This window comes from Homo sapiens, chromosome 10, assembly GCF_000001405.40.
Source record: "Homo sapiens chromosome 10, GRCh38.p14 Primary Assembly".
NCBI classification, from domain to species: Eukaryota; Metazoa; Chordata; class Mammalia; order Primates; family Hominidae; genus Homo; species Homo sapiens.
Window position 1 is genome coordinate 18707421 of NC_000010.11, and position 12360 is coordinate 18719780.

General features: G+C 43.1%; 1 long non-coding RNA gene across 2 annotated transcripts in view; it reads left to right on the forward strand.

The window, feature by feature from the left end:
• The first annotated feature begins 2873 nt into the window (after positions 1–2873).
• Positions 2874–12360, forward strand: part of LOC105376440 (uncharacterized) — a 126250-nt gene continuing 116763 nt past the window's right edge. Inside the window, exon 1 of one of the 2 annotated variants that reach the window (XR_930721.2) lies at positions 2874–2941. This is a non-coding gene — a long non-coding RNA (uncharacterized LOC105376440). The remainder of the gene's footprint in view (positions 2942–12360) is intronic. The other variant, XR_930720.2, reaches the window with a different exon arrangement.

Sequence of the window (12360 nt, forward strand, 5' to 3'; positions counted from 1 at the left end):
TGGTCTCAAACTCCTGACCTCAAGTGATCCAACCGCCTCAGTCTTCCAAAGTGTTGGGATTACAGGTGTGAGCCACTGTGCCTGGCCTATTTATGGTGTTTATGGACAAACACACAGGTGCAGGTTTTTAGGTGGACATCAATTTTCAATTCATTGGGATAAACACCAAGGAACTTGATTGCTGGATTGTATGGTGAAGATATGTTTAATTTTATACAATACTGCTAAATTGTTTTTCCAATACACTATTTGGATTTCCACTGGTAATGAATGAAAATTCCTGCTGACCCACATCCTCGCCAGCATTTGGTGTTGTCAATGTTCTGGATTTTGGCCATGCTAATAGGTATATAGCTGTATGTCATTGTTGTTTTAATTTGTATTTCCCTGATGGCATGTGATGCCGAGCATCTTTTTATAACCTTATTTACCATATGTACATTTTCTTCAATGAGGTACCTATTCAGGTGTTTTGCTCATTTTAAATTGGGTTGTTTTCTTATTTTCTTATTATTGAGTTTTAAGAATTCCTTTGGATATCTGTCCTTTATCATATATATCTCTTGCAAATATTTTCTCTTAGTCTGTGACTTGTCTTCTTATTTTGTTGATCCAGGTCAATCTTTTAATTTAATTTTTTTTTTTTTTGAGATGGAGTCTTGCCCTGTTGTCCAGGCTGGAGTGCAGTGGTGTGATTTTAGCTCACTGCACCCTCTGCCTCCCAGGTTCAAGCTATTCTCTTTCCTCAGCCTCCTAAGTAGCTGGGATTACAGGTGTGCACCACCATGCCTGGCTAATTTTTATATTTTTAGTAGAGATGGATTTTGCCATATTGGCTAGGCTCGTCTCAAGCTCCTGACGTCAAGTGATCTGCTGCTTCAGCCTCCCAGAGTGCTAGAATTACAGGCATGAGCCACCGTACCTTGCCCTAAAATATTTTTAAGTTAGAAAATACCACTGCCTGGTGCAGCAGCTCATGCCTGTAATCGCAACACTTTGGGAGGATAAGGGAGACGGGTCACTTGAACCCAAATGTTCAAGGCCAGCCTGGGCAACATAGTGAGACCTTGCTTGTCTCTACAAAAAATAAAAATAATAACAATGAAAAAGAAAATACCACAGAGTGACAAGAAACAGCGCTTGAACAGCCAGAAAAGGTTGTGTGTGTATGTCTGTGTGTGTGTGTGTGTGTGTGTGTACGTGCCTACTGTAAAATACTGAGGTAGTAGCTTGTTTTTCTAGTCATTTAATAAAACTTTTTATTTCAAAATAATTTTAAACATTCAGAAGAATTGCAAAGTTAGTACCGGGAATTCCAGTTTATCCTTTACGCAGTTTCCCTTAATGTTGACATCTTACGTAACAATGACACAATGATCACAATAAAGAAATTAACATTAGAGCAACAGTATTAACTAACCTACAGGCCTTACTAGGATTTGACCAGCTTTTCTTCTAACGTCCTTGTTCTGTTCCAGAACTGAATCCAGGATACCATGCTGCATTTTAGTTGTCGTGTCTCCTTAGCGCCCTTTGATCTTTTATGCTTTCTCTATGTCTTTGTTTTTCATGACTTCGACACGTTTAAGGAGGACCAATCAGGTATTTTGTAGACCCAACGTGTATTTGTCTGATACTTCATGATACAGGCTTTTAGGAAGAATACTGAAGATGTAATGTGTACTTGACTCATACCAATGATGTTTACCTTGATTACTTGGTTAAGGTGGTGTCTGCCACATTTTTCTCCTGTAAAGTTACTATTTTTCCCATTCCTATGCAAATATTGTATGTCTCCTTAAAGTTTTGGCCACTAATTTTAGCATTCATCAATGAAGTTTGCCTGCAGCGATAATTACTGTGGAATTCTAGTGCTGCTTTTCTATTCCTCTCATTCTTCCACATTTATTATTTAGAATTCTTCTGTAAAAAAGATTTGTCCCTTCTCTCCCGCTTGTTTATGTATTCAATCACCTACTTATAGGTGTTTAATTTATTCTTTGGGTTATAACCCACTACTCCTGTTGTCTGTTTTATTGCCCTAATTGTTCTAGCTTTGGACATCAGGAGCTTTTTTAGGTTGGTTCCTCTATCCCTTTCACATGTCTCCCTCCCATGCCCCCCTGCTTTTTTTTTAACTTATCTGGAGCAGTTCCTCACTTTCTGGCACCCAAAGATGCTCATCTTATATTTTTCCTGCCCTAGAATTAGAATCAGCAAAAAAAAAAAAATCCATGTATATGTGTATATATATGGACTCACATACACACAAATATAGCGATGTTTATATGCATATCTATCAACTGTGGTTCCCCCATCATCTGCAGGGGACACGTTCCAAGGCTCCCAGTGGATACCTGAAACCACAGATGGTACCAAACCCTATATATATATATACACACACTGTATATATATATACACACACTGTATATATATATACACACACTGTATATATATATACACACACTGTATATATATACACACACTGTATATATATATACACACACTGTATATATATACACACTGTATATATATATACACACACTGTATATATATATACACACTGTATATATATATACACACTGTATATATATATACACACACTGTATATATATACACACACTGTATATATATATACACACACACACATATATAGTTTTTTCTATATATACATGATTATGATAAAGTTTAATTTATATATAGAGACACAATTAAATTAGAGATGAACAACAATAAGTAATCATAAAACAGGACAATGCTAACAATATATGTTAATGAAACTGATGTGCATTGCCCGTCTGGCTCGGCCTCCTTCTCTGCGGCTGCGCGGGAAACCCCACGGCTTCCCCTCTACGTGCCTGGCGGCGGCGCCACCGCGCGCCTTCCTCAGCCGCTGTTAACCCCGGGGTCTAGAGAAGCACTGAGAGGACTCCTCAGCCTGGTGAGTGGCCCGCAAAGGACAGCGCTCGCCCCAGGTGCCTTAGCCTCAGGAGTCAGGTCCCCTACCCGGGCGTGCAGGCGGGTTTGGAGGGGTGGTCGCGGAGGAAGGGGGCACAGGTATACCTGGCCCCACAGCGACCCCAGACGTTGCCCTCCTCAGGGAGGGGACCCCCGGGAAGCTCCTGCTGCGGCTGGCGGGTGTCCCATGCAGTAGGGCCCGGGGCAAGGGTATGCCACCAGTCAGGACTGCCACCTCCCACCTTCCTGCAGCCCGGGGACGCTGACCCCTGCCCGGGCAGCATGATGTGTCACGCTGGTGTTCACTTCCAACACAGAAGCCCCGAGTCTAAGCCTCCCCGCCTTGGACAGATGGAGTTACGCCCCGCAGCCCCATTTTTCTCTTCACCCTGTTTCGCGGGAATTCAGCTAAATACACAGAGCGGCCTCCTTCTCCCCGAGTCAATGAGAGAAAGCTCAAAAAAGGACCGAGCCATCCCTGTTGCTAGCTCGACTTCATCACTTTACGCGTCCTGAAACTACTATAGATGTTTGCTCTTCTCAGAAATAGCGGGGGGAACACATTTCCTTATTATGTTTTTAGGCTTTTCAGGTGTTGCCATTTATTTTAATTTAATTTTAGTTTTTGAGATGGAGTCTTACTCTGTCGCCCAGGCTGGAGTGCAGTGTCACAGATCTCTGCTCACTGCAACCTCCGCCCTCCTGGTCCAAGTGATTCTCCTACCTTAGCCTCCCAAGTAGCTGGGACTACAGGCCCGTGCCACCACGCCTGGCTAATTGTATTTTCAAGTAGAGATGGGGTTTTAGCATATGAGCCATGATGGTCTTGAACTCCTGACCTCAAGCGATCCGCCTACCTCGGCCTCCCAAAGTGCTGGGATTACAGGTGTGAGCCACTGTTCCCAGATGTTGCAATTTAAAAACCCAAAACAACAACCAACCCCCCACTCAAAGTGATGTGAATGTGGTCTCTCCCTCTCCCCCTTCCTCTCCCCCTCCCCCTCCCTCTACACACCTATTTTCCAACTTTGTTTGACCCCTTCTCCCTCCCTCTGTACACACCTGTTTTCCCCCGTGGTTGACCGCAGATAACTGAAAGTTTGGAAATAAAAATCGTGGTGGCCAAGGGGGATTACAGCACATATGTCTCCATCTGTCTCTCTAAATTACAAGCCATGAATTTATACCAGTCACCCTGTGAGAAACAAACTCACCTGTCCAAACCCAAAAAAATGGACTCAGAGACCTGAAGAACAGCGACAGTGAGACTTTTAATGACGGTCTTGCAAGATCGGGTGTCTGATGGGTAGGCACACCCAGCACAGTTACAAGCAATTTATCCCCTCAGGTCCCTCCACTGGTTCCTCATAGGCTGAGTACTATGGGGTCACAATCTTCCTGGACATTGCCTATCGGTTGTTGGGTTGGGGCTTTAGATGTTTTTAGGGTTGTCTTGCTGCATTTTGTTGTAGCCGACGGTGTATCACAATTCTAGTTAGCTCAGGGGCTGTTTAAGTATTTGACTTATGATCTAAGTAGCTGGGCAGTCTGATAAGAACAGACAAATATATATTTGATATATAAAATATATCAATTTGCTTACACATGCCCCTCTGTGATCCCAATCTCCTGACCACACTCTGTAATCACAGCTCACCATTTTGGCACCTCCTTCCTTCTCCCCTCCAAGGGCCTCAGTGCTGCTGTCCCCACAGGAAAGGGAAAGGAGAGGAGCAACTTATTTTTAAGAAGCAGGTTTCACAGATGGGAATCAAGATGGGACCACACGACTGTCTTGGAATTCAGTCTTGGGAGCTGAAAGCCACTCACTGAATCTGTCTTTTCCAGGAAGGCTTCTGAGGCAAATGTTCATTGGATCTTAAATCTGGAGTCCCAGGGTTTCTCCTGTTAGCCTGCCCCTAAGACACGCTCACTTAGCAAGGCAGGTGCTGCTTCAGAGGTGCTGCAAAGGGTTTACTTCAGACCAAAATATAATTGTCATATGATTGGTGATTCCTGAGATCACTTCATGGTGAGCAGAAGAAGAAAGCCTTTCATGCCAAGCCGACCCCGCATTGACCCCTCTTGTGATCTCACTGACTATCCCAGACCTGCTGTTGGTCATCCTGGTTAGGACCAACTCTGCTACCTGCCTGGTGTGTCTTCTCAGCTGCTCCTGGGTAGGAGGCAACAGCCTCCCTTCCTAGTAGAGTATCTGTTTGTGTGATATAAGAACACAAATAGGATTATGCCACCCTCTGCTTCAGACTTTCTTTTGGTTTTCCTTGAATTTAAAACCCAAACTTGGCTGGGCATGGTGGCTCACGCCTGTAATCCCAGCACTTTGGGAGGCCGAGGTAGGTGGATTGCTTGAGCCCAGGGGTTCGAGACCAGCCTGGGCAACATGGCGAAACCCCATGTCTACAAAACATACAAAAATTAGCCGGGTGGGGTGGCGTGCACCTGTAGTTTTGGCTACTTTGGAGGTTGAGTTGGGAGGATTGCTTGAGCCTGGGAGGTGGAGGTTGCAGTGAGCTGAGATTGCACCACTGTACTCCAGCCTGGGGGACAGAGTGAGAACTTGTCTCAAAATAACCCCTAACCACCCCCTCAGAAAAACTCCAAACTCCCTCATTTGTGCTATGAAGCTGAAAAAAATGAACCCTTTCTCACCATACCTTCCTGTCTGAATGCTTCTCACTGTCATTAAACCAATCTTGACCCGGGCTCTGAAGGCCTTTGACAATCTACAGTCACAAACGTGGCTTAGAAGTCCAAAGTTGAGTACAGGTGACATAGCCACTGAATCCTGTTCTGAAAACCAGACGTTGGTGGAGTTGGCAAGTTAGCATGTTTGTCTGAGTCAGTATCACTTGAACTAATTAAGTTTTTCTTTGCTCACTATGCTTTGCTGGGCTTTCTCAAGCTTTTTATGACTCATTGAAATACAAGCTTGTGGTTCTCTTACGTTACATAATAGATCGGCATGTCAGCAGATAACTTGTTTGCAGGGAGCTGGTGAAATGCCGGGACAAGTGACAACTGCTCAATGTCTGTAAGGAACACATCACCAAATAGAACAGGTTGGAAAATGAGTACAGATACTCGAAAGCCTTAATCTGCAATTTCTAGGTCATCATGCGGAATGGATTAATATAAAAATGGAGAGTGGGCCTATTACTGAGAAAAAAATACATCAGGATATTCCTTTTGTGCGGTATTCATTAAGCAATGACAAGGCCCATGCCTCACCATATTTTAATTTTCCTTATATATCAGAGACAGAGATTGAATTTTTAAAAATCTGGGCCTGTCAAATCTGAATGCTGAAAATTGCTAGTAAATTAGCTTAAAAAGTTTACCGTGCTGAATATGAACCGTTTGCTGTTTGGCATAGTAAGAACTGAGATTTTAGAAAGAGGATCTTTGGAAAGGAAGGTGAGAAGAAGGAGTCACTGCATTTCAAAGTAGCACCTTTTAAACTTACACGGAAGAAGAAGCTGGTGGTATTTGCTGCATGGTTGATTCTACTTTAGGTGGTCCACATTAAAAAGTATGGAACATCTTTTGTGTGCGTGAGTGATAGTGATGAAGATGGTGATTGACAGAGATAACTTTCCATGTGGGGGGATGGGTGGGACTTCTTTGGTGGGATCTGTGCGGTGCCTGGGACTTGGCCACATCACTGTGCTTCTAGAATTTTCAGTGGTGTTTGAAATTTCTCCCATTAGAATAATAATTATGACTTTGTATCATAACTTGGGGTTCCAAATGCTCTGGTTATCGGGACAGAGAAATATCTTAAACATTAATAGCCATCAAAGGTTGAGTGCAGTGGCTCATACCCCTTATCCCAGTACGTTAGGAGGCAGAGGTGGGAGGATTGCTAGAGGCTGGGAGTTTGAGACCAGCCTGGTCAACAGCAAGACTCCATCTCTGAAAAAAATCCTAAAATTACCCAGGTGTGGTGGCACGTGCTTATAGTTTCAGCTCTTGGGAGGCTGGGGCAGGAGGATCACTTGAGCCCAGGAATTTGAGGCTGCAGTGAGCTATGATTGTGCCACTGCACTCCAGCCTGGGTGACAAGAGTGAGACCTTGTCTCCAAAAAAAGAAGAAAAAAAAATTATCAGAATTCTGGATCCACAGCTACCCTGCCAGCACTGAGAAAAACCCACTAAAACAGGATGGGTTATTCTGGACAGTAAATGATTACAAAAGTGGGGATAGTTCTGCTGAAAGTGGAAGAAGAGGCAAAAAAGAAATACACAGAACATTCTAGAGGAAGAGCTCAAGCTGTGAATCTTGAACGTTCAGATATCCAGATGTGCTGAATGAAAAATAGGTCTTTGTGTCATATGAGCACAATCTTGTGTTTTTTATTTTCTTTTTTCCCTTTTATTTATTTATCTTTTACTATTAGCCATACTTGCTGTCACTTTTATTTAAAATGCACTTAATATGACTGAAGCATAGTGGTATCAGTAGAAACCATTTTTTCCTAGGCACTGATCCCAGTTCTGCATAAATACCAGGTGACTCCTAAAAAATTTCTCTCTAATTATATAATATTATAAGCAATCTACAGTTATTTAAAGCTTCAATGCTGTAGGCAAAACACAACTGAAATATTACATTATGCATGTTTTATTTCGAATGAATCAAGCAATAAAACCTTAGAAGCAGCCGTTAGCTTTAGGTAATTGTCTGCATCTAAAAATTAAATGCTCCAAAGAACTGCAAAGAATGCTTAGTGGGCAAGGTCATGCAAAAAGGGTCCCCTCTTTAGATGTGGTATTCAACAACATTTCATTAGACAGCGGTACCAACTTGAGCTTTTAATCTTTATAGTGCTATGATTTGGTAGTGATTTTTGTTGTTAGGATTTGAATTGTTAAGATGCCAACAAAAATCAATTTTCAAAAATTAGGTGAGGAATAATATGCTTTTCTTTAGAGTACTATACGTCACCTTGGTTTTCTCTCTTTCCTGTTTGTGCTCTTACCCCATTACAGTCTATTTGCATATGACAGCTATGCAATGTAAATTTTTCAAAACACAAATAGGATTATGACACCCTCTGCTTCAAATTCTCCATTTTTTTTTTTTGGAATTTAAAATCCAAATTCTGGCAGGCCACGGTGGCTCACGCCTGTAATCCCAGCACTTTGGGAGGCTGAGGCGGGCAGATCACCTGAGGTCAGGAGTTTGAGACCAGCCTGGCCAACATGCTGAAACCCCATCTCTACTAAAAATACAAAAATTGGCCAGGTGTGGTGGTGGTCGCCTACTACTATTCGGGAAGCTGAGGCGGGAGAATCACTTGAACCTGGGAGACCAGGGTTGCTGTGACCCGAGATTGGACCACTGTACTCCAGCTTGGGCAACAGACTCCGTCTCAAAAAAAAAAAAAAAAAGAAAAAAAAAATCCAAATTCCCTTACTCTTCTTCCGAAGCTAAAAAAATGAACCCTTTCTCTCTATACTTTCCCACCGGCTCAGTCTGTTCCAATTGCACAGACCATCTTTCTGTTTCTTGATGAATTGCCTGCCTCCTCCCTACATTAGAATTTTGCCTTCGCTGTTCACACTGCCTAGAAAGCTCTGTTCTCAGGTTTTTGCAGGGCTGCTTCTATCAATCAGATTCTACTCACATGTCACCTCCCCCATAAGGTCTTCTTGCTTTCCAAACCTAAGGTTACCTGGATCGTAGTCAATATCATGACATCTGGCTTTCTAAAATTATTCATTTTTAAATACCATTTTTCATTGTCTGAAATTATTTTGTTCAAGACTCTGTTTATTTTGTTTCGTTTCTCCTAACAATGTAATCTGTGTGGATAAGGGGCATTATCTGTCACCTCTTCTCCCTCCCGTGCTTCCAGATTAGTAATAGAAGTGTGGCATAGAGCAGGAGATACATAAATATTTCCTTTTTTTTTTTTTGGAGACAGAGTCTCACTCGGTTGCCCAGGCTGAAGAGCGGTGGCATGGTCTTGGCTCACTGCAACCTTGGCCTCATGGGTTCAAGCGATTCTCTTGCCTCAGCCTCCCGAGTAGCTGGATTACAGGCACCCCACCATGCCTGGCTAATGTTTGAGACAGGATCTCACTGTCATCAAAGTTGGAATGCAGTGGCATAATCAAAGCTCACTATAGCCTCAAACTTCTGAGCTCAAGTAATCCTCCTGCCTCAGCATCCTGAGTAGCTGGAATGATAGGTGTGTGCCACCATGGCCAGCTAATTTTTAATTTTTGTAGAGATGGGGTCTTGCTATGTTGCCCAGGCTGGTCTTGAACTCCTGGCCTCAAGTGATCCTCCCTTCTCAGCCTCCTAAAATGCTGGGATTACAGGCAGGAGTGAGCACACCTGGCCTTCATAAACATTTCTTAAATGAGCAAATTATTTCTTCTTGGTTGGTTAATTGACAGCCCACAAATACTGTGCACCAGTAAACTAGATGTGTTTCAACTACTTTGTACCCACAGTTTGGCTAATTAGTGTAGGGGAGGAAAAAATTTTCCTTGACCCAGGGTCCCTGGCTGGGTCTGAAAGGAAAACTAACAGATTAATAAGAGAAAAGCATACACATTTATTGACTATTAGTTATATGTGACACAAGAGCCTTCATAAAGCAATGAAGACAGGAAGGAATGGTGAAACTTGCATATTTTTATGCTAAGTTTGATGAAGAGTGGACAGTCATGGAGAATTATGATTGGACGACGGGAGTGTGATCTAATGGCAATAGACAGGAGGCTTAGCAAGGCCAGTCCGTTCAGATCCTTCTCTGTCCTTTCATCTTAAGAGATAAGGATGTTCCTTTTTTCCTCCAGATATAGGGAAGGTCTTTCTCATAAGAGGGTTTTTTTTTTTTTTTTTTTTTTGAAACGGAGTCTCACTCTGTCACCCAGGCTGGAGTGCAATGGCACCATGTCGGCTCATCGCAACCTCTGTCTCCTGGGTTCAAGCAATTCTCCCACCTTAGCCTCCCGAGTAGCAGGGATTACAGGTGCCCACCACTATGCCTGGCTAATTTTTATATTTTTAGTAGAGATAAGGTTTCACTATGTTGGCCAGGCTGGTCTCAAACTCCTGACCTCAAGTGATCCACCCGCCTCAGCCTCCCAAAGTGCTGGGATTACTGGTGTGAGCCACTGTACCTGGCTGAGGGTCTTTTTTAAAATTATTATTCCCTGACAATCGTATGAGGATCTTATGAACTGCTTCAGGGAAAGGTCAGAAAATCTTTCCTAGGTTTTATGACCTGCTTTAGGAAAAGGTTATAAAAGGTCAGAGCAAACTTTCTGCTCCTGCTGTTTTCTTCAATATGCCAAGGTGCTATATTTTAGGGTAGCCTGTCCTGAACCCCATCATTGTTATCAACGATTAGGAGATCAGGCACATCTTGACTTTCACTTAGTAAGAGTAAGCCTTTGTGTCTAAAAAAATCATACTAGTTTATTAAAAGTCTGTTTTTATTGGGTTAACTAATCAGACAATAAAAATTACAAAAGGGGGCTAAGGAGGGAATTCAACTGATTTTGTAGGGTGGACGTGTATAGAGATTAGACAAGAAAATTCTTTTTTTTTTTTTTTTTGAGACAGGGTCTGGTCACCCAGGCTGTAATGCAGTGGCATGATCTTGGCTCACTGCAACCTCTGCCTCCAGGGCTCAAGCCATCCTTCCATCTCAGCCTCCAAAGTAGCTGGGACTATAGGCACACTCCACCATGGCTGGCTAATTTTTGTATTTTTTATAGAGATGGGGTTTTGCCATGTTGCCCAAGCTGGTCGAGAACTCCTGAGCTCAAGTGATTCATCCACCTCGGCCTCCCAAAGTGCTGGGATTACAGGCATGAGCCACCATGCCTGGCCTAGATTAGCCAAGAATATGCTTGTTCTCATTGCCAAGGCCTGGAGATAGGCCTGCGGCCTGAAAGGACCTCGACAGACAGCCTCGCGGTGACCCTTTGATGCTCTCTGGATATACCAGGAAAACTGCACGATGTGAGGCACACAGTGAGAAAGCCAATCTGTGTATTTATTTATTTATTTTGAGGTGGAGTTTTGCTCTTGTTGCCCAAGCTGGAGTGCAGTGGCGTGATCTCAGGTCACTGCAACTCTGCCTCCCAGGTTCAAGTGATTCTCCTGCTTCAGCCTCCTGAGTAGCTAGGATTACAGGTGCACCACCACACCTGGCTAATTTTTGTATTTTTAGTAGAGATGAGGTTTCTCCATGTTGTCCAGGCTGGTCTCGAACTCCTGAGCTCAGGTGATCCACCTGCCTTGACCTCCCAAAGTGCTGGGATTATAGGTGTGAGCCACTGTGCCTGGCCCATTCTGTGTATGTAACTAGTGGTAGATACTCAGTAAGGGCAAGTTTTCCACGAAAGAAAAAGTGGAGGATGCAGCAGTTGATAGCATGTTAGAGAATGAGTCTCCCTGTGTGTGTGGCCTTCCTGGTAAGGGGAAATTAGGTTCTGAGAAGGAAGTTAAGATTGTGTGTGAAAGGAGGAAGGTGCTATCTCAAGCTTTGTCCTTAATGATCATTAAGGAGGAGAAATGGAGTGTAGTGTAAGGAGACTGATAGCAGGGAAATGAAACTCCAGCCATTTGAAACCAGTCAATAGAGTCAAATGTTTTCTGTCTGCTGTTCACCTTCTTGAGCCACTGTGCAGATGCAGGCAGCAAAGAAATGACAAACAATTACCTCCCTGGGCAGGTGAACCTATTTCAAAACCCATGGGCAGGAGTTTTAACCTGGATTCCATGAGTAAACTCCAGGAATTTGTGAAATCCTGAAACCCACATATCATACATGTTTACGATGATCCCTTAGGTGTATTTATTTCTGAGAAAATTAGTCATAACTTTTTATTGGATTTTCAAAGGGGTCTGTGAGTTTTAAAAGGGAAGATACTATCACACATGTTTATGGTGATCCCTTATATGTATTTATTTCTGGGAAAATTAGTCATAACTTTTTCTTGGATTTTCAAAGGGGTCTGTGAGTTTTAAAAGGGAAGATACTCTGTTGGATAGCTTTGTCCAGTGCTATACTTTTTTTTTTTTTTGGAGATAGGGTCTTGCTCTGTTGCCCAGGCTGGAGTACAGTGGTGTGATCATGGCTTACTGCAGCCTTGACCTCCTGGCCTCAAGTGATCCTCCCACTGTGGCCTCCTGAGTAGCTGCAACTACAGACATGTGTCACTATACCTGGGTATTTATTACTATTATTATTTTTGTAGGGATGGGATCTCACTATGTTGTCCAGCCTGGTCTTGAACTCTTGGGCTCAAGTGATCATCCTGCCTTGGCCTCCTGAAGCGCTGGGATTGCAGGCATGATCCACCATGCCCTGCCCAACGGTACACTTTTCAGGAGAAAACTCTTCCACTTCT